The sequence below is a fragment of the Homo sapiens genome, chromosome 11 (assembly GCF_000001405.40).
Source record: "Homo sapiens chromosome 11, GRCh38.p14 Primary Assembly".
NCBI lineage: Eukaryota > Metazoa > Chordata > Mammalia > Primates > Hominidae > Homo > Homo sapiens.
Genome location: NC_000011.10, coordinates 108,431,122 through 108,455,817, shown reverse-complemented (window position 1 = coordinate 108,455,817; position 24,696 = coordinate 108,431,122). Strand labels below are relative to the sequence as shown.

The 24,696-nt window shown below is 40.0% G+C and overlaps 1 protein-coding gene across 28 annotated transcripts in view, besides 4 other annotated features; it reads left to right on the top strand.

Moving 5' to 3' along the window:
- C11orf65 (chromosome 11 open reading frame 65) overlaps positions 1-24,696 on the top strand; it is a 161,363-nt gene that overhangs the window by 14,064 nt on the left and 122,603 nt on the right. For 17 of the 28 annotated variants that reach the window (NR_147053.3, XM_047426461.1, XM_047426462.1 and 14 more), the window contains one exon: positions 23,980-24,072. The exons of the other annotated variants lie outside the window; for them this stretch is intronic. Coding sequence is in view for 16 of the 17 variants with exons in the window: in XM_047426461.1 (XP_047282417.1) it covers positions 23,980-24,072 (93 nt within the window). In the remaining variant the exon portion in view is untranslated. The remainder of the gene's footprint in view (positions 1-23,979; positions 24,073-24,696) is intronic. 28 annotated transcript variants of the gene reach the window in all.
- Positions 3,212-3,356: an enhancer, noted in NCBI's record as "145 bp 11:108323261 sequence used in MPRA reporter constructs". NCBI's record gives its function as "activates a minimal TATA-containing promoter with rs377067236 allelic activity by MPRAs in C283T melanocytes and UACC903 melanoma cells {active_cell/tissue: C283T | UACC903}" and the evidence as "EXISTENCE:reporter gene assay evidence [ECO:0000049][PMID:36423637]".
- Position 3,284: a transcriptional cis regulatory region, noted in NCBI's record as "rs377067236 or 11:108323261 MPRA-significant variant associated with a GWAS melanoma risk locus at 11q22.3". NCBI's record gives its function as "allelic transcriptional activity by MPRAs in C283T melanocytes and UACC903 melanoma cells {active_cell/tissue: C283T | UACC903}" and the evidence as "EXISTENCE:reporter gene assay evidence [ECO:0000049][PMID:36423637]".
- Positions 16,817-16,961: an enhancer, noted in NCBI's record as "145 bp 11:108309656 sequence used in MPRA reporter constructs". NCBI's record gives its function as "activates a minimal TATA-containing promoter with rs12289561 allelic activity by MPRAs in UACC903 melanoma cells {active_cell/tissue: UACC903}" and the evidence as "EXISTENCE:reporter gene assay evidence [ECO:0000049][PMID:36423637]".
- Position 16,889: a transcriptional cis regulatory region, noted in NCBI's record as "rs12289561 or 11:108309656 MPRA-significant variant associated with a GWAS melanoma risk locus at 11q22.3". NCBI's record gives its function as "allelic transcriptional activity by MPRAs in UACC903 melanoma cells {active_cell/tissue: UACC903}" and the evidence as "EXISTENCE:reporter gene assay evidence [ECO:0000049][PMID:36423637]".

The following is a 24,696-nucleotide window of genomic DNA, read 5'->3' as shown; positions in this document are numbered from 1 at the left end:
TTGAGGTGGAGTCTTGCTCTGTCACCCAGGCTGGAGTGCAGTGATGTGATCTCAGCTCACTGCAACCACCGCTTCCTGGGTTCAAGCGATTCTCCTGCCTCAGCCTCCCGAGTAGCTGGGATTACAGGCATGTGCCGCCACACCTGACTAATTTTTGTATTTTTAGTAGAGATGGGATTTCACTATGTTGGTCAGTCTGGTCTCGAACTCCTGACCTCGTGATCCGCCCGCCTCGACCTCCCAAAGTGCTGGGATTACAGGCATGAGCCACTGTGCCTGGCCTCTAATTGCTTTTTTATAAATTCCTTTGGATTTTCTTAGTCATGTTATCTTTGAATGATGACAGTTTTACTTTTCCTTTGTGAACTTTCTATCTTTGGTTTATAGAAACACCATTGATTTTTGTATGTTGAGTTTGTAACTTTACTAAATTTGCTTATTATTTTTAACAGTTTTTTGATAAGAGTCTTTAAGGTCTTCTGTATATAAGATCATGTCATCTGGAAACAGAGACAATTTAACATCTTCCTTTTCAATTTGTATGTCTTATTTCTTTCTGTTGCCTAATTTCTCTGGCTGAGACTTCCAGTGCCATGTTGAATACAAGTAGTAAGCAGGGGCATCCATGTTCCTGATCTTAGAGAAGAAACTTTTAACTTTTCACCATTGAGTATGATGTTAGCTGTGGGCTTGTCATATGTGACCTTTAAAGGTAAATTAAGGAATATATTGAGACAAACAAAATGGAGACACAACATACCAAAACGTATGGGATGCAGCAAAGGCAATTCTAAAGGGGAATTTCATAGCAATAAATGCCTACATCACAAAACAAGAAAGATCTCAAACAACCTAATGTTACACTTCAAGGAACTAGAAACAGAAGAACAAACTAAGACCAAAGTTATCAGAAGGAAGGAAATAAAGATTAGAGCAGAAATGATTGAAATAAAAACTAGAAAAACAATAGAAAAGATCAACAAAACCAGGAGTTGGGTTTTTGAAAAGATAAACAAAATTGGCAAATCTTTAACTAGACTAACTAATAAAAACAAGAAAATCAGGTGTGGTGGCACACGTCTGTAGTCTCAGCTACCTGGGAGACTGAGGCAGAAAGATCACTTTAGCCCAAGAGTTTGAGTCCAGCCTTGGCAGCATAGTGAGACTACATCTCTAAAAGTAAATAAATAAATAAATAAATAAACAAAAATGTAAAAGTAGGCCTGGTGCAGTGGCTCACGCCTGTAATCCCAGCACTTTGGGAGGCCAAGGTGGGCGGATCACCTGAGGTCGGGAGTTCAAGACCAGACTGACCAACATGGAGAAACCTCGTCTCTACTAAAAATACAAAATTAGCCAGGTATGGTGGCACATGCCTGTAATCCCAACTACTCGGAAGGCTGAGGCAGGAGAATCACTTGAACCCAGGGGGCAGAGGTTGCAGTGAGCTGAGATCATGCCATTGCACCCCAGCCTGGGCAACAAGAGTGAAAGTGTCTCAAAAAAAAAAAAAAAGAAGACTCAAATAAATAAAATCAGAAATGAAAGATGAGACATTACAACTGATACTACAGAAATACAAAAGATAATAAGAAACTACTATGAACAATTATAAGCCAATAAATAGGATAACTTAGAAGAAATGGGCAAATTCTTAGATACATGTAACCTCCCAAGACTGAATCATGAAGAAATAGAAAATATGAATAGACCAATAATGAGTAAGAAAATTGGATCAGTAATAAAAAACCTCCCGTCAAAGAAAAGCCCAGGATGGCTTCACTGTTGAATTCACTGATGACCTTGCTGTTGAATTCTACTAAATATTTAAAGAAGAAATAATAATCTGCCCTTTTCAAACTCTTTCAAAAAATTAAAGAGGAGAGCATACTTCTAACCTCATTTACAAAGCCAACATGAGTTGGATACCAAAGCCAGATGAGGATGCTATCATAAAATTACAGGCTAATGCCCCTGATGAACATAGATGAATAGGATCTTCAACCAAATACTAGCAAACTGAATTTAACAGCACATTAAAATAATGATCAAGTGAGATTTATCCTTTGTGTGCAAGGTGGTTCAACATATACAAATCAATAAATGCGATGACCACATTAACAGAATAAAGGACAAAAAGCATGTGATCACTTCAATAGATATTTCGTATATTTTACAGTACTTCTTGTCTGAAAGAACATTTTATTTTATATTGTTATAGCTACCCTAGTGTTCTTTTGGTGAGTACCTACATGACATCTTTTCCTATTCTTTTACTTTTCATCTTTTTGTGCCCTTATATTTAAATTGTGTCTCTTGTAAACAAAATACAGTTGGATTTAATTTTGCATAATTCTAAATAATCTTTGTCTTTTAATTAGCATGTTTAGACCATTTATATTTATTGTAATTACTGTATTCATTGGGCTTAAGGCTACCATCTTGCTGTTTGTTTTCTACTTATCTGATCTGTTCTTCCTGTATTTTCCCCTCCCTTTTCCCTTTCTTGGTGGTAATTAAATATTGTTAGTTTGTCATTATTTTCTTCTCTATTAACTTTTTAGTTATTTTGATTGATTAAAGATGCCATAAGTTGTTTTCTATTTCTCCTGTTGACAGGAGGTGGCAATATTTTCCCTTTCTTTTTTTTTTCTTTTTTCTTTTTTTTTTAATTATACTTTAAGTTCTAGGGTACATGCACAACGTGCAGGTTGTTACAAATGTATACATGTGCCATGTTGGTGTGCTGCACGCATTAACTCATCGTTTACATTAGGTATATCTCCTAATGCTATCCCTCCCCCCTCCCCCCACCCCACGACAGGCCCTGGTGTGTGATGTTCCCCACCCTGTGTCCAAGTGTTCTCATTGTTTAATTCCCACCTATGAGGGAGCACATGCGGTGTTTGGTTTTCTGTCCTTGTGATAGTTTGCTCAGAATGATGGTTTCCAGCTTCATCCATGTCCCTACGAAGGACATGAACTCATCCTTTTATATGGCTGCATAGTATTCCATGGTGTGTATGTGCCACATTTTCTTAATCCAGTCTATCATTGATGGACATTTGGGTTGGTTCCAAGTCTTTGTTATTGTGAATAGTGCTGCAGTAAACATACGTGTGCATGTGTCTTTATAGCAGCATGATTTATAATCCTTTGGATATACACCCAGTAATGGGATGGCTGGCTCAAATGGTATTTCTGGTTCTAGATCCTTGAGGAATTGCCACACTGTCTTCTACAATGGTTGAACTAGTTTACAGTCCCACCAACAGTGTAAAAGTGTTCCTATTTCTCCACATCCTCTCCAGCACCTGTTGTTTCCTGACTTTTTAGTGATTCCCATTCTTACTGGTGTGAGATGGTATCTCATTGTGGTTTTGATTTGCATTTCTCTGATGGCCAGTGATGATGAGCATTTTTTCATGTGTCTGTTGGCTGCATAAATGTCTTCTTTTGAGAAGACATATCCTTTGCCCACTTTTTGATGGGGTGGTTTGATTTTTTTCTTGTAAATTTGTTTAAGTTCTTTGTAGATTCTTGATATTAGCCCTTTGTCATATGGGTAGATTGGAAAAATTTTCTCCCATTCTGTAGGTTGCCTGTTCACTCTGATGGTAGTTTCTTTTGCTGTGCAGAAGCTCTTTAGTTTAATTAGATCCCATTTGTCAATTTTGGCTTTTGTTGCCATTGCTTTTGGTGTTTTAGTCATGAAGTCCTTGCCCATGCCTATGTCCTGAATGGTATTGCCTAGGTTTTCTTCTAGGGTTTTTATGGTTTTAGGTCTAACGTTTAAGTCTTTAATCCATCTTGAATTAATTTTTTATAAGGTGTAAGGAAGGGATCCAGTTTCAGCTTTCTACCTATGGCTAACCAGTTTTCCCAGCACCATTTATTAAATAGGGAATCCTTTCCCCATTGCTTGTTTTTCTCAGGTTTGTCAAAGATCAGATGGTTGTAGATGTGTGGTATTATTTCTGAGAACTTTGTTCTGTTCCATTGATCTATATCTCTGTTTTGGTACCAGTACCATGCTGTTTTGGTTACTGTAGCCTTGTAGTAGACTTTGAAGTCAGGTAGCGTGATGCCTCCAGCTTTGTTCTTTTGGCTTAGGATTGTCTTGGCAATGCAGGCTCTTTTTTGGTTCCATGTGAACTTTAAAGTAGTCTTTTCCAATTCTGTGAAGAAAGTCATTGGTAGCTTGATGGGGATGGCATTGAATCTATAAATTACCTTGGGCAGTGTGGCCATTTTCACAATATTGATTCTTCCTACCCATGAGCATGGAATGTTCTTCCATTTGTTTGTGTCCTCTTTTATTTTGTTGAGCAGTGGTTTGTAGTTCTCCTTGAAGAGGTCCTTCACATCCCTTGTAAGTTGGATTCCTAGATATTTTATTCTCTGTAGCAATTGTGAATGGGAGTTCACTCATGATTTGGCTCTCTGTTTGTCTGTTATTGGTGTATAGGAATGCTTGTGATTTTTGCACATTGATTTTGTATCTTGAGACTTTGCTGAAGTTGCTTATCAGCTTAAGGAGATTTTGGGCTGAGATGATGGGGTTTTCTAAATATACAATCATGTCGTCTGCAAACAGAGACAATTTGACTTCCTCTCTTCCTAATTGAATACCCTTTATTTCTTTCTCCTGCCTGATTGCCCTGCCCGAACTTCCAACACTATGTTGAATAGGAGTGGTGAGAGAGGGCATCCCTGTCTTGTGCCAGTTTTCAAAGGGAATGCTTCCAGTTTTTGCCCATTCAGTATGATATTGGCTGTGGGTTTGTCATAAATAGCTGTTATTATTTTGAAACACGTCCCATCAGTACCTAGTTTATTGAGAGTTTTTAGCATGAAGAGCTGTTGAATTTTATTGAAGGCCGTTTCTGCATCTATTGAGATAATCATGTGGTTTTTGTAATTGGTTCTGTTTATATGCTGGATTACATTTATTGATTTGTGTACGTTGAACCAGCCTTGCATCCCAGGGATGAAGCCGACTTGATCATGGTGGATAAGGCTTTTTTTTAAAATTTTATTATTATTATACTTTAAGTTTTAGGGTACATGTGCACAATGTGCAGGTTTCTTACATATGTATACATGTGCCGTGTTGGTGTACTGCACCCATTAACTCATCATTTAGCATTAGGTATATCTCCTAATGCTATCCCTCCCCCCTCCCCCCACCCCACAACAGTCCCTGGAGTGTGATGTTCCCCTTCCTGTGCCTATGTGTTCTCATTGTTCAATTCCCACCTATGAGTGACAACATGTGGTGTTTGGTTTTTTGTTCTTGCCATAGCTTGCTAAGAATGACGGTTTCCAGTTTTATCCATGTTCCTACAAAGGTCATGAACTCATCATTTTTTATGGCTGCATAGTATTCCATGGTGTATATGTGCCACATTTTCTTAATCCAGTCTATCGTTGTTAGGCATTTGGGTTAGTTCCAAGTCTTTGCTATTGTGAATAGTGCCGCAATAAACATACGTGTGCATGTGTCTTTATATTTATAATCCTTTGGGTGTATACCCAGTAATGGGATGGCTGGGTCAAATGGTATTTCTAGTTCTAGATCCCTGAGGAATTGCCGTGCTGACTTCCACAATGGTTGAACTAGTTTACAGTCCCACCAACAGTGTAAAAGTGTTCCTGTTTCTCCACATCCTCTCCAGCACCTGTTGTTTCCTGACTTTTTAATGATCGCCATTCTAACTGGTATGAGATGGTATCTCATTGTGGTTTTGATTTGCATTTCTCTGACAGCCAGTGATGATGAGCATTTTTTCATGTGTTTTTTGGCTGCATAAATGTCTTCTTTTGAGGAGTGTCTGTTCATATCCTTGGCCCACTTTTTGATGGGTTTTTTTTTCTCTTGTAAATTTGTTTGAGTTCATTGTAGATTCTTGATATTAGCCCTTTGTCAGATGAGTAGGTTGCAAAAATATTCTCCCATTTTGTAGGTCGCCTGTTCACTCTGATGGTAGTTTCTTTTGCTGTGCAGAAGCTCTTAAGTTTAATTAGATCCCATTTGTCAATTTTGGCTTTTGTTGCCATTGCTTTTGGTGTTTCAGACATGAAGTCCTTGCCTATGCCTATGTCCTGAATGGTATTGCCTAGGTTTTCTTCCAGGGTTTTTATAGTTTTAGGTCTAACATGTAAGTCTTTAATCCATCTTGAGTTAATTTTTGTATCAGGTGTAAGGAAGGGATCCAGTTTCAGCTTTCTACCTATGGCTAGCCAGTTTTCCCAGCACCATTTATTAAATAGGGAATCCTTTCCCCATTGCTTGTTTTTCTCAGGTTTGTCAAAGAGCAGATGGTTGTAGATATGCGGCATTATTTCTGAGGACTCTGTTCTGCTCCATTGATCTATATCTCTGTTTTGGTACCAGTACCATGCTGTTTTGGTTACTGTAGCCTTGTAGTATAGTTTGAAGTCAGGTAGTGTGATGCCTCCAGCTTTGTTCTTTTGGCTTAGGATTCACTTGGCTATGTGGGCTCTTTTTTTGGTTCCATATGAACCTTAAAGTAGTCTTTTCCAATTCTGTGAAGAAAGTCATTGGTAGCTTGATGGGGATGGCATTGAATCTATAAATTACCTTGGGCAGTAGGGCCATTTTCACGATATTGATTCTTCCTACCCATGAGCATGGAATGTTCTTCCATTTGTTTGTATCCTCTTTTATATCACTGAGTAGTGGTTTGTAGTTCTCCTTGAAGAGGTCCTTCACATCCCTTGTAAGTTGGATTCCCAGGTATTTTATTCTCTTTGAAGCAATTGTGAATGGGAGTTCACTCATGATTTGGCTCTCTGTTTGTCTGTTATTGGTGTATAAGAATGCTTCTGATTTTTGTACATTGATTTTGTATCCTGAGACTTTACTGAAGTTGCTTATCAGCTTAAGGAGATTTTGGGCTGAAATGATGGGGTTTTCTAGATATACAATCATGTCGTCTGCAAACAGGGACAATTTGACTTCCTCTTTTCCTAATTGAATACCCTTTATTTCCTTCTCCTGCCTAATTGCCCTGGCCAGAACTTCCAACACTATGCTGAATAGGAGTGGTGAGAGAGGGCATCCTGTCTTGTGCCCGTTTTCAAAGGGAATGCTTCCAGTTTTTGCCCATTCAGTATGATATTGGCTGTGGGATTGTCATAGATATCTCTTATTATTTTGAGATACGTCCCATCAATACCTAAATTATTGAGAGTTTTTAGCATGAAGGGTTGTTGAATTTTGTCAAAGGCCTTTTCTGAATCTATTGAGATAATCATGTGTTTTTTGTCTTTGGTTCTGTTTATATGCTGGATTACATTTATTCATTTGCATATGTTGAAGCAGCCTTGCATCCCAGGGATGAAGCCCACTTGCTCATGGTGGATAAGCTTTTTGATGTGCTGCTGGATTTGGTTGGCCAGTATTTTATTGAGGATTTTTGCATCAATGTTCATCAAGGATATTGGCCTAAAATTCTCTTTTTCGGTTGTGTCTCTGCCTGGCTTTCGTATCAGGATAATGCTGGCCTCATAAAAAGAGTTAGGGAGGATTCCCTCTTTTTCTATTGATTGGAATAGTTTCAGAAGGAATGGTACCAGTTCCTCCTTGTACCTCTGGTAGAATTCAGCTGTGAATCCATCTGGTCCTGGACTTTTTTTGGTTGGTAAGCTATTGATTATTGCCACAATTTCAGATCCTGTTATTGGTCTATTCAGAGATTCAACTTCTTCCTGGTTTAGTCTTGGGAGGGTGTATGTGTCAAGGAATTTATCCATTTCTTCTAGATTTTCTAGTTTATTTGCATAGAGGTCTGTGTAGTATTCTCTGATGGTAGTTTGTATTTCTGTGGGATTGGTGGTGATATCCCCTTTATCATTTTTTATTGCATCTATTTGATTCTTCTCTCTTTTTTCTTTATTAGTCTTGCTAGCAGTCTATCAATTTTGTTGATCTTTTCAAAAAACCAGCTCCTGAATTCATTAATTTTTTGAAGCGTTTTTTGTGTCTCTATTTCCTTCAGTTCTGCTCTGATTTTAGTTATTTCTTGCCTTCTGCTAGCTTTTGAATGTGTTTGCTCTTGCTTTTCTAGTTGTTTTAATTGTGATGTTAGGGTGTCAATTTTGGATCTTTCCTGCTTTCTCTTGTGGGCATTTAGTGCTATAAATTTCCCTCTACACACTGCTTTGAATGTGTCCCAGAGATTCTGGTATGTTGTGCCTTTGTTCTCGTTGGTTTCAAAGAACGTCTTTATTTCTGCCTTCATTTTGTTATGTACCCAGTAGTCATTCAGGAGCAGGTTGTTCAGTTTCCATGTAGTTGAGCGGTTTTGAGTGAGATTCTTAATCCTGAGTTCTAGTTTGATGTCACTGTGGTCTGAGAGACAGTTTTTTATAATTTCTGTTCTTTTACATTTGCTGAGGAGAGCTTTACTTCCAACTATGTGGTCAATTTTGGAATAGGTGTGGTGTGGTGCTAAAAAAAAATGTATATTCTGTTGATTTGGGGTGGAGAGTTCTGTAGATGTCTATTAGGTCCGCTTGGTGCAGAGCTGAGTTCAATTTCTGGGTATCCTTGTTAACTTTCTGTCTCGTTGATCTGTCTAATGTTGACAGTGGGGTGTTAAAGTCTCCCATTATTATTGTGTGGGAGTCTAAGTCCCTTTGTAGGTCACTCAGGACTTGCTTTATGAATCTTGGTGCTCCTGTATTGGGTGCATATATATTTAGGATAGTTAGCTCTTCTTGTTGAATTGATCCCTTTATCATTACGTAATGGCCTTCTTTGTCTCTTTTGATCTTTGTTGGTTTAAAGTCTGTTTTATCAGAGACTAGGATTGCAACCCCTGCCTTTTTTTGTTTTCCATTTGCTTGGCAGATCTTCCTCCATCCTTTTATTTTGAGCCTATGTGTGTCTCTGCACATGAGATGGGTTTCCTGAATACAGCACACTGATGGGTCTTGACTCTTTATCCAATTTGCCAGTCTGTGTCTTTTAATTGGAGCATTTAGCCCATTTACATTTAAAGTTAATATTGTTATGTGTAAATTTGGTCCTGTCATTATGATGTTAGCTGGTTATTTTGCTCGTTAGTTGATGCAGTTTCTTCCTAGCCTTGATGGTCTTTACATTTTGGCATGATTTTGCAGTGGCTGGTACCGGTTGTTCCTTTCCATGTTTAGTGCTTCCTTCAGGAGCTCTTTTAGGGCAGGCCTGGTGGTGACAAAATGTCTCAGAATTTGCTTGTCTGTAAAGTATTTTATTTCTCCTTCACTGATGAAGCTTAGTTTGGCTGGATATGAAATTCTGGGTTGAAAATTCTTTTCTTTAAGAATGTTGAATATTGGCCCCCACTGTCTTCTGGCTTGTAGAGTTTCTGCTGAGAGATCCGCTGTTAGTCTGATGGGCTTCCCTTTGTGGGTAACCCGACCTTTCTCTCTGGCTGCCCTTAACATTTTTTCCTTCATTTCAACTTTGGTGAATCTGACAATTATGTGTCTTGGAGTTGCTCTTCTCAAGGAGTATCTTTGTGGTGTTCTCTGTATTTCCTGAATCTGAATGTTGGCCTGCCTTGCTAGATTGGGGAAGTTCTCCTGGATAATATCCTGCAGAGTGTTTTCCAACTTGGTTCCATTCTCCCCATCACTTTCAGGTACACCAATCAGACGTAGATTTGGTCTTTTCACGTAGTCCCATATTTCTTGGAGGCTTTGTTCGTTTCTTTTTATTCTTTTTTCTCTAAACTTCCCTTCTCACTTCATTTCATTCATTTCATTCATTTCATCTTCCATCACTGATACCCTTTCTTCCAGTTGATCGCGTCGGCTCCTGAGGCTTCTGCATTCTTCACGTAGTTCTCGAGCCTCGGCTTTCAGCTCCATCAGCTCCTTTAAGCACTTCTCTGCATTGATTATTCTAGTTATCCATTCGTCTAATTTTTTTTTCAAAGTTTTTAACTTCTTTGCCATTGGTTTGAATTTCCTCCTGTAGCTCGGAGTCGTTTGATCGTCTGAAGCCTTCTTCTCTCAGCTCGTCAAAGTCATTCTCCATCCAGCTTTGTTCCATTGCTGGTGAGGAGCTGCGTTCCTTTGGAGGAGGAGAGGTGCTCTGCTTTTTAGAGTTTCCAGTTTTTCTGCTCTGTTTTTTCCCCATCTTTGTGGTTTTATCTACTTTTGGTGTTTGATTATGGTGACATACAGATGGGTTTTTGGTGTGGATGTCCTTTCTATTTGTTAGTTTTCCTTCTGACAGACAGGACCCTCAGCTACAGGTCCGTTGGAGTTTGCTAGAGGTCCACTCCAGACCCTGTTTGCCTGGGTATCAGCAGTGGTGGCTGCAGAACAGCGGTGGCTATAGAACAGTGGATATTGGTGACCTGCAAATGCTGCTGCCTGATCGTTCCTCTGGAAGTTTTGTCTCAGAGGAGTACCCTGCTGCGTGAGTTGTCAGTCTGCCCTTACTGGGGGGTGCCTCCCAGTTAGGCTGCTCGGGGGTCAGGGACCCACTTGAGGAGGCAGTCTGCCCATTCTCAGATCTCCAGCTGCATGCTGGGAGAACCACTACTCTCTTCAAAGCTGTCAGACAGGGACATGTAAGTCTGCAGAGGTTACTGCTGTCTTTTTGTTTGTCTGTGCCCTTCCCCCAGAGGTGGAGCCTACAGAGGCAGGCAGGCCTCCTTGAGCTGTGGTGGGCTCCATCCAGTTGGAGCTTCCCGGCTGCTTTGTTTACCAAATCAAGCCTGGGCAATGGCAGGCACCCCTCCTCCAGCCTTGCTGCTGCCTTGCAGTTTGATCTCAGACTGCTGTGCTAGCAATCAGCAAGACTCCGTGGGCGTAGGACCCTCCGAGCCATGTGTGGGATATAATCTCCTGGTGTGCCGTTTTTTAAGCCCGTTGCAAAAGTGCAGTATTAGGATGGGAAGTGACTGGATTTTCCAGGTGCCATCTGTCACCCCTTTCTTTGACTAGGAAAGGGAACTCCCTGACCCCTTGCGCTGCCGGAGTGAGGCAATGCCTTGCCCTGCTTCAGCTCGTGCACGGTGCGCTGTACCCAGTGTCCTACACCCACTGCCTGGCACTCCGTAGTGAGATGAACCTGGTACCTCAGATGGAAATTCAGAAATCACCTGTCTTCTGCGTCGCTCATGCTGGGAGCTGTAGACTGGAGCTGTTCCTATTCGGCCATCTTGGCTCCACCCTGTGGATAAGCTTTTTGATGTGCTGCTGGATGCGGTTTGCCAGTATTTTATGGAGGGTTTTTGCATCGATGTTCATCAGGGATATTGGTCTAAAATTCTCTTTTTTTGTTGTGTCTCTGCCAGGCTTTGGTGTCAGGATGATGTTGGCCTCATAAAATGAGTTAGGGAGGATTCCTTCTTTTTCTATTGATTGGGATAGTTTCAGAAGGAATGGTAGCAGCTCCTCTTTGTACCTCTGGTAGAATTCGGCTGTGAATCCGTCTGGTCCTGGACTTTTTTTTGGTTGGTAGGCTATTAATTATTGCCTCAATTTCAGGGCCTGTTATTGGTCTATTCAGGGATTCATCTTCATGGTTTAGTCTTGGGAGGGTGTATGTATCCAGGAATTTATCCATTTCTTCTAGATTTTCTAGTTTATTTGCGTAGAGGTGTTTATAGTATTCTCTGATGGTAGTTTGTATTTCTGTGGGATCGGTGGTGATATCCCCTTTATCATTTTTTATTGCGTCTATTTGATTCTTCTCTCTTTTCTTCTTTATTAGTCTTGCTAGTGGTCTATCAATTTTGTTGATCTTTTTAAAAACCCAGCTCCTGGATTCATTGATTTTTTGAAGGGTTTTTTGTGTCTCTATTTCTTTCAGTTCCGCTCTGAACTTAGTTATTTCTTGCCTTCTGCTAGCTTTTGAATGTTTTTGCTCTTGCTTCTCTAGTTCTTTTAATTGTGATGTTAGGGTGTCAATTGTAGATCTTTCCTGCTTTCTCTGGTGGTAATTTAGTGCTATAAATTTCTGTCTACACACTACTTTAAATGTGTCCCAGAGATTCTGGTATGTTGTGTCTTTGTTCTGGTTGGTTTCAAAGAACATCTTTATTTCTGCCTTCATTTTGTTATGTACCCAGTAGTCATTCAGGAGCAGGTTGTTCAGTTTCCATGTAGTTGAGCGGTTTTGAGTGAGTTTCTTAATCCTGAGTTCTAGTTTGATGTCACTGTGGTCTGAGAGACAGTTTGTTATAATTTCTGTTCTTTTACATTTGCTGAGGAGTGCTTCCAACTATGGGGTCAATTTTGGGATAGGTGTCGTGTGATGCTGTAAAAATGTATATTCTCTTGATTTGGGGTGGAGAGTTCTGTAGATGTCTATGAGGTCTGCTTGGTGCAGAGCTGAGTTCAATTCCTGGATATCCTTGTTAACCTTCTGTTTCGTTGATCTGTCTCATGTTGACAGTGGGGTGTTAAAGTCTCCTATTATTATTGTGTGGGAGTCTAAGTCTCTTTGTAGGTCACTCAGGACTTGCTTTATGAATCTGGGTGCTCCTGTATTGGGTGCATATATATTTAGGATAGTTAGCTCTTCTTGTTGAATTGATCCCTTTATAATTACGTAATGGCCTTCTTTGTCTCTTTTGATCTTTGTTGGTGTAAGTCTGTTTTATCAGAGGCTAGGATTGTAGCCCCTGCTTTTTTTGTTTGTTTGTTTTCCATTTGCTTGTTAGATCTTCCTCCATCCCTTTATTTTGAGCCTATGTGTGTCTCTGCACATGAGATGGGTCTCCTGAATACAGCACAGTGATGGGTCTTGAATCTTTATCCAATTTGCCAGTCTGTGTCTTTTAGTTGGAGCATTTAGCCCATTTACATTTAAAGTTAATATTATTATATGTGAATTTGATCCTGTCATTATGATGTTAGCTGGTTATTTTTCTCGTTAGTTGATGTTGTTTCTTCCTAGCATCGATGGTCTTTACAATGTTTTTGCAGTGGCTGGTACTGGTTGTTCCTTTCCATGTTTAGTGCTTCCTTCAGGAGCTGTTGTAAGGGAGGCCTGGTGATGACAAAATCTCTCAGCATTTGCTTGTCTGTAAAGTATTTTATTTTTCCTTCACTGATGAAGCTTAGTTTGGCTGGATATGAAATTCTGGGTTGAAAATTCTTTTCTTTAAGAATGTTGAATATTGGCCCCCACTGTCTTCTGGCTTGTAGAGTTTCTGCTGAGAGATCCGCTGTTATTCTGATGGGTTTCCCTTTGTGGGTAACCCGACCTTTCTCTCTGGCTGCCCTTAATATTTTTTCCTTCATTTCAACTTTGGTGAATCTGACAATTATGTGTCTTGGGATTGCTCTTCTCGAGGAGTATCTTTGTGGCATTCTCTGTATTTCCTGAATTTGAATTTTGGCCTGTTTTGCTAGGTTGGGGAAGTTCTCCTGGATAGTATTCTTAAGAGTGTTTTCCAACTTGATTCCATTCTCCACATCACTTTCAGGTACACCAATCAGACGTAAGTTTCATCTTTTCACATAGTCCCACATTTCTTAGAGGCTTTGTTCGTTCTTTTTCCTCTTTTTTCTCTAAACTTCTCTTCTGGCTTCCTTTCATTCTTTTGATCTTCAATCACTGATACCCTTTCTTCCACTTGATTGAATCGGGTACTGAAGCTTGTGCATGCATCACCTAGTTCTCTTGCCATGGTTTTCAGCTCCATCAAGTGATTTAAGGTCTTCTCTACACTGTTTCTTCTAGTTAACCATTCATCTCATCTTTTTTCAAGGTTTTTAGCTTCTTTGTGATAGGTTTGAACATCCTCCTTTAGCTCGGAGAAGTTTGTTATTACTGATCATCTGAAGCCTTCTTCTCTCAACTCATCAAAGTCATTTTCCATCCAGCTTTGTTCTGTTGCTGGCAAGGAGCTGCATTCCTTTGGAGGAGAAGAGGCATTCTGATATTTAGAATTTTCAGCTTTTCTGCTCTGGTTTCTCCCCGTCTTTGTGGTTTTCTCTACCTTTGGTCTTTGATGATGGTGACATACAGATGGGATTTTGGTGTGGGTGTCCTTTCTGTTTGTTAGTTTTCCTTCTAATAGGACCCGCAGCTGCAGGTCTGTTGGACTTTGCTGGAAGTCCACTCCAGACCTTGTTTGCCTGGGTATCACCAGCGGAGGCTGCAGAACAGCAAATATTGCAGAATGGCAATTGTTGCTGCCTAATCCTTCCTCCGGAAGCTTTGTCTCAGAGGGGCACCTGGCCGTATGAGGTGTCAGTCTGCCCCTACTGGGGGGTGCCTCCCAGTTAGGCTACTTGGGGGTCAGGGACCCACTTGAGGAGGCAGTCTGCCCATTCTCTCATCTCAAACTCCATGCTGGGATAACAACTACTCTTTTCAAAGCTGTCAGACAGGGACGTTTAAGTCTGCAGAAGTTTCTGCTGCCTTTTGTTCAGCTATGCCCTGCCCCCAGAGGTGGAGTCTACAGAGGCAGGCAGGCCTCCTTGAACTGTTGGTGGGCTCCACCCAATTCGAGCTTCCCGGCTGCTTTGTTTACCTACTCAAGCCTCAGCAATGGCAGACGCCTCTCCTCCAGCCTCGCTGCCGCCTTGCAGTTCAATCTCAGACTGCTGTGTTAGTAGTGAGCAAGGTTCCGTGGGTGTGGGACCCTCTGAGCCAGGTGCAGGATATAATCTCCTGGTGTGCTGTTTGCTAAGACTGTTGGAAAAGCACAGTATTAGGGTGGGAGTGTCCTAATTTTCCAGGTACCATCTGTCACGGCTTCCCTTGGCTAGGAAAGGGAATTCCCCAACCCCTTGCACTTCCTGGGTGAGGCAGTGCGTTGCCCTGCTTTGGCTCATGCTCCTTGGGCTGCACCCACTGTCTGACAAGCCCCAGTGAGATGAACCCGGTACCTCACTTGGAAATGCCGAAATCACCTGTCTTCTGCGTTGCTCATGCTGGGAGCTGTAGACTGGGGCTCTTCCTATTTGGCCATCTTGGAACCTCCTCTTCCTATCGGTCATATTTTCCCTTTCATCTAGGCTATTTTAGTAACTTGCTTTACCATTAAAACCACTAAAATAGGACATGACATTCTGGAACCTCTTAGTCTAGGTCATAAAAAGCATTGCAGTGTCCAAGTCTGTGTCCTGAAATGTTCATTCTGAGTGAGAACAGCCACCATGTAGGAAGGATAACTGCCCTGAAACTGCCATGCTGAAGTGAATCCCAGGCTAGCCTCATGGAGAGGTTGCCTCCAGAGATTGATGATTGACTATCCTGTTTTAACAGATATTACAGCCCACTTAAGCAGATACGTAAGTGAAAAGGCCATTTTTTATATTCCATGCCCAATAAGTGTAATAAGGAAAAGAACCAAGAGACCTAGCTGACAGCTAGAATGCAGGTCCTTGATATTGGGCCCCACTTGAGCCATCCCAGCCATTTCTACTGTTCAAGTCATCCCCGCTGAAGCCTCAGTCATTGTGGAGATGAGACAAGACTTCCCTACTATTCCCTACCAGAATTCGTAACCCATAATTATGAGCATAATAAAATGGTGGTTGTTTTTACACTACTAAGTTTTGAGGTACTTTACTACACAGTAATAGATGATTAGAACAGCTATATATTCTTTTAGAGGGTTAAGCTAGAAAGGGCAAAGTTACAATATTTGCCCTTGATTAGTTAGTCTCTACCTTAAATTAGTACTTTTACCCTTTTCAGAACAATGTAAGAAGCTCATAACATGTTAACTCACTTTAGCCTCTTCACCTTTGTCCTGTTATTTCCAGATATTTCACTTACACTTTTGTTTTAAGTACCAGGAGACATTATTATTCTTGTTTTAAACAGCCAGTGTTCACTTTTTTATTGTAGTAAAATGTTCATAACATAAAATTTACCAGTTTAACCGTTTTTAGGTGTATAACTCAATTACATTAAGTATATTCATAATGTTGTGCACCTATCACCAGTATCCATTTCCACAGCTTTTTCATCATCCCAAACAAAACCTCATGTACCCATTAAACAAAAACCTCCTAACCACCAGACCCCAGTTATCTCTATTCTACTTTGTGTCTCTGTGAATTTTCCTATTTTAGGTACCTCATTTAAGTGGATTTATCTTTTTGTATCTGGCTTATTTTACTCAACATAACATTTTCAATGTTCATCCAATTTATAGCATGTATCAGAATTTCATTCCTTTCTAAGGATGGATAATATTCCATTATATATCTATATGCTACATTGTATTTATCCATTCATCTGTTAATGGACATTTGGGCTATTTCCACTTTTTGGTTACTGTGAATAATGCTGCTAATAAATTGATGTAAAAATATCTGTTTGAGCCATTGCTTTCTTTTTGGTATATGTCTAGAAGTGGAATTGCTGGATTATGTAATTCAATGTTTGACTTTGTGAGGAACTGCCAAACTTTACCACAGTGGCTGTACCATTTTACATTCCCACCAGCAATGCACAAGGTTTCCAGTTGCTCTATATCCTTGCCAATACTTGCTATTTTCAAGTTTTTTGGTAATAGCCATTCTAATGGATGTTAAGTCGTATCTCATTGCAGTTTTGATTTACATTTCCCTTATGACTAGTGATATTGATCATCTTTTTTGTCCTTATTGACCACTTGTAAGTCTTCTTTGGAGAAATATATATTCAAGACCTTTGCCCATTTTTACATTGAGTTGTTTTGCATTTGTTGTTGAGATGTAGCAGTTCTTTATGTTTCGAAGATCTGCTTTGCAAATATTTTCTCCCATTTTGTGGATTGCCCTTTTACTCTCTTGTTAGTGTCCTTTGATGCACAAAAAGTTTTAATTTTTTTTTTTTAGATGGAGTCTCGCTCTGTCACCCAGGCTGGAGTGCAGTGGCACAGTCTCGGTTCACTGCAACCTCTGCCTCCTGCGTTCAAATGATTCTTCTGCCTCAGCCTCCTGAGTAGCTGGGACTACAGGCGACCACCACCATGCCTGGCTAATTTTTGTATTTTTAGTAGAAATGGGGTTTCACTGTGTTGGCCAGACTGGTCTCAAACTCCTGACCTCAAGTGATCTGCCCGCCTTGGCCTCCCAAAGTGCTAGGATTACAAGCGTGAGCCACTGCACCCAGTCTGATTTTTATGTAGTCCAGTTTATCTTTTTGTTCATTTTGTTTCTTGTGCTTTTGGTGTTATATCCAAGAAATCATTACCAAATCCAACGTCATGAAGCTTTTCCCCCATATTTTCTTCTAGGAGTTTTATGGCTTTAACTCTTATATTTGGATCTTTGATTTTTTTTTTTTCCAGACGAAATCTTGCTTTGTTGCCCAAGCTGGAGTGCAGTGACTCAATCTCAGCTCAGTGCCAACTCCGCCTCCCAGGTTTGAGGGATTCTTTTGCCTCAGCCTACCGAGTAGCTGGGACTACAGGAGTGCGCCACATGCCCAGCTAATTTTTGTATTTTTAGTGGAGACAGGGTTTCACCACGTTGGCCAGGCTGGTCTCAAACTCCTGACCTCAAGTGATCTGCCCGTCTCGGCCTCCCAAATTGCTGAAATTATAGGCGTGAGCCACTGCATGCCACCTAAATCTTTGATCCATTTTGATTTAATGTTGCATATGGTGTAAATTAAGGACCCAATTTCATTATTTTTCATGTGGGTATATAATTGTCACGGATACATTTGTTGAAAATACTGTCCTCTTCATTGAATGGTTTTGAAACCCTTGTCAAAAATGAGTTGACGACATATATATGAGTCTATTTGGAGGCTCTCTATGCTATTCCATTGGCCTATATATCTGTCCTTAGGCCAGTACCAAACTGTTTTGATTATTGTAGCTTTAGTAAGTTTTGAAATCCGGAAGTATGGCTCTCCAACTCACACTTTTTCACTTATTTTATTCTTTTTCAAGACTGTTTGGCTATTCAGGGTCCCTTGTGTTCCACATAGATTTTAGGATGGGCTTTTCTATTTTTTCAAAAAGTGCCGTTGGGATTTTGGATAGTGATTACATTGAATCTGTACATTGCTTTGGGTAATACTGTCATCTTAACAATACTAAGGCTTCCAATCTGTGAATGTGGGGTGTTTTTCCGTTTAATTTCCTTATCCTTTTTTTTTTTTTTTTTTTTTTTTTTTTTTTAAGACTGAGTCTCACCTGTCACCAGGCTGGAGTGCAGTGGTGCTATCTCAGCTCACTGCAACCTCTGCCTCTGCCTCCCGGATTCAAGCGATTCTCCTGCCTCAGCCTCCCGAGTAGCTGGGACTACAGACATGCGCCACCATGCCCAGCTAATTTTTGTATGCTTAGTAGAGACGGGGTTTCACCATGTTGGCCAGGATGGTTTCGATCTCTTGACCTCATGATCTGCCCGCCTCAGCCTCCCAAAGTGCTGGGATTACAGGCGTGAGCCACTGCACCCAGCCTTCAGTATCTATTTTTATCTATCCAGATACAAACCATTTCCAGAGCCCTTCATTTGTTCCTGCAGCCTTATTTGCTTCCTTATGGTATTAATTTTCTGCCAACTCAAGAATTCTCTGTAGTTTGATTTTGTTTTTGAGAGGCAAGTTCTTGCTCTGTCACCCAGGCTGGAGTGCAGTGGTGCAATCATAGCTCACTGTAGCCTCGAATTCCTGAGCTCAAGTGATCCTCCTACCTCAAGCTACTGAGTAGCTAGGACTTCAGGTGTGCATCACCACACCTAGATAATTTTTAAAATTTTGTCCACCCCCCCCCTTTTTTTTTTTTTTTTGTCGTAATGGGTTCTTAATATGTTGACCTGGTGGGTCTCAAACTCCTAGCCTCAAGTGATCTTCCCATGTCAGCCTCCCAAAGTTCTGGAACTATAGATGTGTCTGTAGTATTTCTTATAAGATTTCTTAGATGCCAGACCTCCTGTGAAAAATCCCTTCAGCTTTTGTTTGTCTAAAAGCATATTTATTTCCTTTTTATTTTCAAAGAATATTATCACATTTCATAGAAATCTGGACTGGCATGTTATTGGGATTTTTCCCCCCTCAGCACTCAGATGGCATTCCATTGTATTCTGTCTCCCATAGTTTCTATTAAAAAGTCAATAAATAGTGTTACCGTTTCTACTCTGAAAGTATTGTGGTATTTATTTTCTGGCTGCTTTTAAATTGCGTCTTTGTCTTTGGTTTTTAGCAGTTTGATTATGATGTGTCTATATGTCATTTTCTTTATATTTGTCCTTGTTTGGTCAAGTTGACAATAGAATAACCCAGCTGAGTCTACCCCTTGTCACCTTGGCATCCATACAAATCCCTTTTAACCATATTTAACTTCCAAATAGAATCAAAACCATGCTTCCACCTAACATTCCTCATACAGGCCAAAGCATATTCACAACCTTCCCAAAAGTACCTTTATCCCTTTTTGGATCATTTTTATTCCTCTTTTTGCTGAACCATACTCTACCTATGATATCTTATACTTTAAATACCAGGTGGAAGGTTAAGTACTTGTATTAATTTCCTAATGCTACTGTAAAAATTGCCACAAAGTTAGTGCTTTAAACCACAAAAATGTATTATCTTACGGTTCTGGAGGTCAGAAGTCTGAAATGGGCTTCACTGGGCTAAAATCAAGCGTCAGCAGAGCTTGTGTTCTCTCTGGAGGCTCTAGGGAAGAATTTCCTGCCTTTTCCTCCTTCTAGAAGTTGCCCGCATCCTTGGCTCATTATGCCCTTCTATTTTCTTTCTTTTTTTTTTTTTTCCTCCTAAAATCCTTTCCTGGAGCAACCCCTGTCTATTTTCAAAACCAGCAATGACCTGTCAAGTCTTTCCCTCATCACACCACTCTTGCTGACTCTTCTATGTCCTTTATACGGACCCTTGCAATTACCTTGGGCCAATGAGGATAATTTCCCTGTGTCAAAGTCAGCTGATTAGCAACCTTAGTTCCAAATGCAATCCTAATTCACCCTCTCCATGTAACAGCATATTTACACATTACAGATTACAGGGATTAGGTGTGAACATCTTTTGTTAGGGAGCGTTATGCTGCCTACCACACTATGATTAACACACTTTACATTTGTTTTAGGGGAATGGGAGCAGGAGAAAACAAAAGAAAAAAATGGCTAATATTTATATGCAGATATATAGAAGAAATACTCATAGATACTACCTGTTTCTGCAGCTAATTATGGGAATCATAGCTGGTATTTTTAACTTTTTTCTTCCACTAGCTATTTCATATTCTCTCTTTTTTTCAGCAAGCACTTCAGCTGGTTGTGGTTCCTTGCTCAGGGGTGGAGGAAGGGAATGACGCAAAACTTCATTCCTAAAGGGGCTAGACCTTTAACAATTCTGCCTGTTTGGGGTTGTTATAATTTTCCATTAACTTTTCTTACAGAATATGGTATTACTAAAAAACACCCCAAAAGTTCTCCTGAATTCTAGACATCTTCCTTAATTTCTACTGGTAGTAATAGCTCATTTTCTCCTAAGAATCAGGATTAATTACCCCAGCCAGTATGGTAATTGTCTTTTTTTTTTCATGTTGGTTTATTGGTATGAGGAGAACAAGATGGTCAGGTGGCAGTATCAGTTTCCATTTTAACATTGGTATGTACTTTGGTGGAAACGTTCTTCCTGTGGAAACTAAGACCATTATATCTGCAGAGCACAAAGGTACAAAGAAGGACAGGAAGCAAAATTTTCACTAGTGGATCATTAAAGATAATATTGAGAGGGAGCCACTTCCATTTCTACCACTTAATTCCCAAATTCATGGATGCTGGCTGTGTGAGAAATAGCACGATATTCATTCAGAGCATCTACTACAACATAGAGGATGTCGTCCTAGTCTGAAAAGTGTTATCACTGAATTCTAAATTGCAACTGAGTCTTTAACATGCCATTCCACTATTCTATCAGGCCAGTTACTTCAGGGTGATTGGGAACAAGGTAAGATTTATGAATTTCACAAGCATGGGCCCATTGGTGTGCTACACTTGTTGTGAACCAAGTTCTCTAATCAGGAGCAATGCTGTGTGGAATACCATGACAGAGAATAAAGCATTTTCAAAGTACACAGAAGGTTTTTGTGGAAACACTGTGCACATGGAAGGATCAGATGTCAATTCCAGTGAGAAAAGAAGTGTTGCCCTTTCCATAATGGAAGTGTTCCAAATAATCAATTTTTGTCTCAAGGAAGCTAGGTAGTTCCCCCAAGGAATTATGCCATACCAGGGGCTCAGTGTTAGTCTCTGTGTTGGCAAGTTGGACTCTCTCAGTGGTGGCAGTAGCCAGATCTAGTGGGTAGAAATTCATGTTGCTGAGCCTATGAATAACCTCCATTCCTTTTTTTTTTTTTTTGAGACAGAGTCTCCCTCTGTCACCCAGGCTGGAGTGCAGTGGCACCATTTCGGCTCACTGCAACCTCCGCTTGCCAGATTCAAGCGATTCTCCTGCCTCAGCCTCCTGAGTAGCTGGGATTACAGGCACACACCACCATGCCCAGCTAATTTTTGTATTTTTAGTAGAGATGTGGTTTCACCATGTTGGCCAGGCTGATCTCGAACCCCTGACCTCAAGTGATCCACCTGCCTTAGCCTCCCAAAGTGCTGGGATTACAGCTATGAGCCACCACACCCAGACATAACCTCCATTCCTACTGCTATGACCACTTTGTTCATGAGCACATAGTGCAAGGATAGCAGTGGCTAGGGGGAAAGGCTGACTGATTCCAAGGAATGAGTCATCTTGCTCACCTGATTATTAAGATTCTTCTCTGTTGAGATTGTTCTTTGGTGAGCATTCACATACGACACAAGCATCTTCTCACTTGGTGCCCATCTGGAGAAGTCTGCACATACCTCTTCCCCAGACCACTTGTCACCAATTTTCTAACCATGTTCTTTCCAAATCCCTGACCATCCAGTCAAACCATCCATCAATCACCATCCATCTATAGATCTATACTTCTGGCCATCTTTTCTTCCAGGCACAATATACAACCAGGTATGCTACTTGAGGTTCTGTCCCAGTAGAAGGATTTCCCTTCCTCTCTGTACTGCAAGTGAAGCTGTAATGTATATAGAACTTCCTGTGAGTCCCACCTTTTACTTGACCCCCTTAGGGGCCAAGCCTAACAAGCCCTGTTAGGACTTGAGTTTGACCAATGGAATGCAGAATAAATGTTGCTGTGACTTCCAAGATAAGGCCTTAAGAAACCTTGTAACTTCCACTTTCTGTCTTTGGTACTTTTTTTGTTTTGTTTTGTTTTGTTTTGTTTTGTTTTGAGACGGAGTCTCACTCTGTCACCCAGGCTGGAGTGCAGTGGCGTGATCTCTGCTCACTGCAAGTTCCGCCTCCTGGGTTCACACCATCCTCCTGCCTCAGCCTCCCGAGTAGCTGGGACTGCAGGCGCCTGCCACCACATCTAACTAATTTTTTTTGTATTTTTAGTAGAGACAGGGTTTCACTGTGTTAGCCGGGGTGGTCTCGATCTCCTGACCTCATGATCCCACCCACCTTGGCCTCCCAAAGTGCTGGGATTATAGGCGTGAGCCACTGAGCCCGGCATATATATATATCTATATATATCTATATATATATAGAGAGAGATATATATATATAAATTTTTTTTTAATGCCTCGCCCCTCCAAAGTGCTGGGATTACAGGCGTGAGCCATTGCACCCAGTCTCTCTTTGGTACTTTAAAACCTCCATACTATGAAGAAGCTCAAACTGAAGGTCTGTTTGGAAAGAGAGGCCCAGCTATCCTAGATATTCCAAAAATTTCAGCTGAAGACCCTGATATGTGGGTGAGGCCATATTAAATCACTCAACTCCAGCTGATCTGGCAGCTGACTAAGGCCACATGTATGAGTCCAACCAAGACCAGCAGAACTCCCCTGTCAACCCACAGGAAGAGAGAAATAATAAATGGTTGTTGCTCTAAACCACTAAGTTTTAGGGTGGTTTGTTATGTATTAGTAGACAACTGATATAGTAACCACCTATTTAGAAGATACTATTCAGATTTTAAACCATAATAAGTATTTCTTGATACTCAATTTGGAGTTTTATTTGGGGAAAATTATATCCTCCTTTCAGAAAGAATACTATTAGTATAGACATGGGCTGTACCATCTTCCATAGGCAATTGTAGTGGGGCTTTAGATTGTTATATTGGTACTATGGGTTACTTAAATTTGAATTTATTTTATTTGCTTTAACATAAGCAAATGGGGAGTGGGGTGTTTACCAAGAGTTATTAAAGCATTTTTAGGGAGATGGGGCTTGAGGGGAGAGTTACCAAAGAAATAATTTTCCAAGATGGACTAATTGGTAGGGATTGTTTAGCTAAATTTGCACTAATGTGAAAAATAGATGAACACTCAATAAATATTAGTCGTTGTTACCATTACAGAATCCTGTAATACATCAGTGGGATTACTATAGGAATAAGGAGGATTCTGCAATGGTAACAATGGCTAATATTTATTGAATGTTTTCTTGTGTCAGAAAGCTTTACATGCTCTACAAATATTAATTCATGTATTTCTCACCAAAGCTGTATGAGATGGCTACTATCATTCCCACTTTATAGTTGAAGAAACTGAGTGCAAAGAGGTTAAGCAACTTGTCGACAGTCACAGCTGCTAAATACTAACAGCTGAACCCAGACAAGAGTATCCCATACTCAGTGGTTCTTAATCAGTAGTCTGTATTTTGGTTTTTTTCTAGATTACTCTGGAGAGTACACTGAGATGACTTTACCAAAGTTTGGGATATTACATTTATAGTTGGTAGTGATGCAATTACAAATTTAAGAATAAATCTCTTTGTGAGAATTATACTAATACTACTAGGGTTATCAAAGCAAACCCTGAGTGCATAATATTTCTAAAATCTAGTGTGGATACATAAAAATCTATTTTATGGTACTTTATTCGTTTTTGCCCTGATTAGACAAAAAGCGAAGTAGAAATAGAAAATCCAGTTTTGATCATGAAATCTTGTGTTTGAACCTTTAGAATGTCGCTATATTTCAACACTTTAAAAGTCTGATTGATTTAAGAAGACAAGGAGAACCACGTCAGATAGTGAAATATATTAATCCCAAAGAGGTAAGGACATTACTTATTGATATAGCATCCTATATTTTTCCATAAAATGTGATTACTTTATCAATTCAGTGTGCTCATCATATTTGTTTCTTTTTAAAACTGTTTTTATTAAAGTATTACACATATGTTGAAAGTTCATAAAACATATATAGCTCAATGAATCATCACAAAGCAAACACCTATGTAACCGTCACCCAGATCAATGTTTTCATACTCCAAATCACTCCCTTTGGGTACCCTGCAAATCATTGCCAACTCCCTTCTTCCAAAAGGTAACCACTATTTTATATTCTAACATAATACTTTAATTTCCTGTTTTTGAACTGTATATAAATAGAATCCTATAGTATGCTTTGGGGTATATATTTGTTCATCCAACAATACATTTATGTAGCTAAAATTCATTCATTTTTAATTAATAGCCATTATTCTCTTTTATGAATATATTGCTATTTATTCATTCTACAGTTGATTGACTTTTGTATTTTTTCTAGTTTGGGGCTATTTTAATAACTGTTTCTGGGAATTTTCATGTCTCCTCATGGATAAGTGTACACATTTTTTTTTTGTTTATACTACACCTAGAAATGGAATTGGTGAGCAACAAATTATCCTTATCACAAC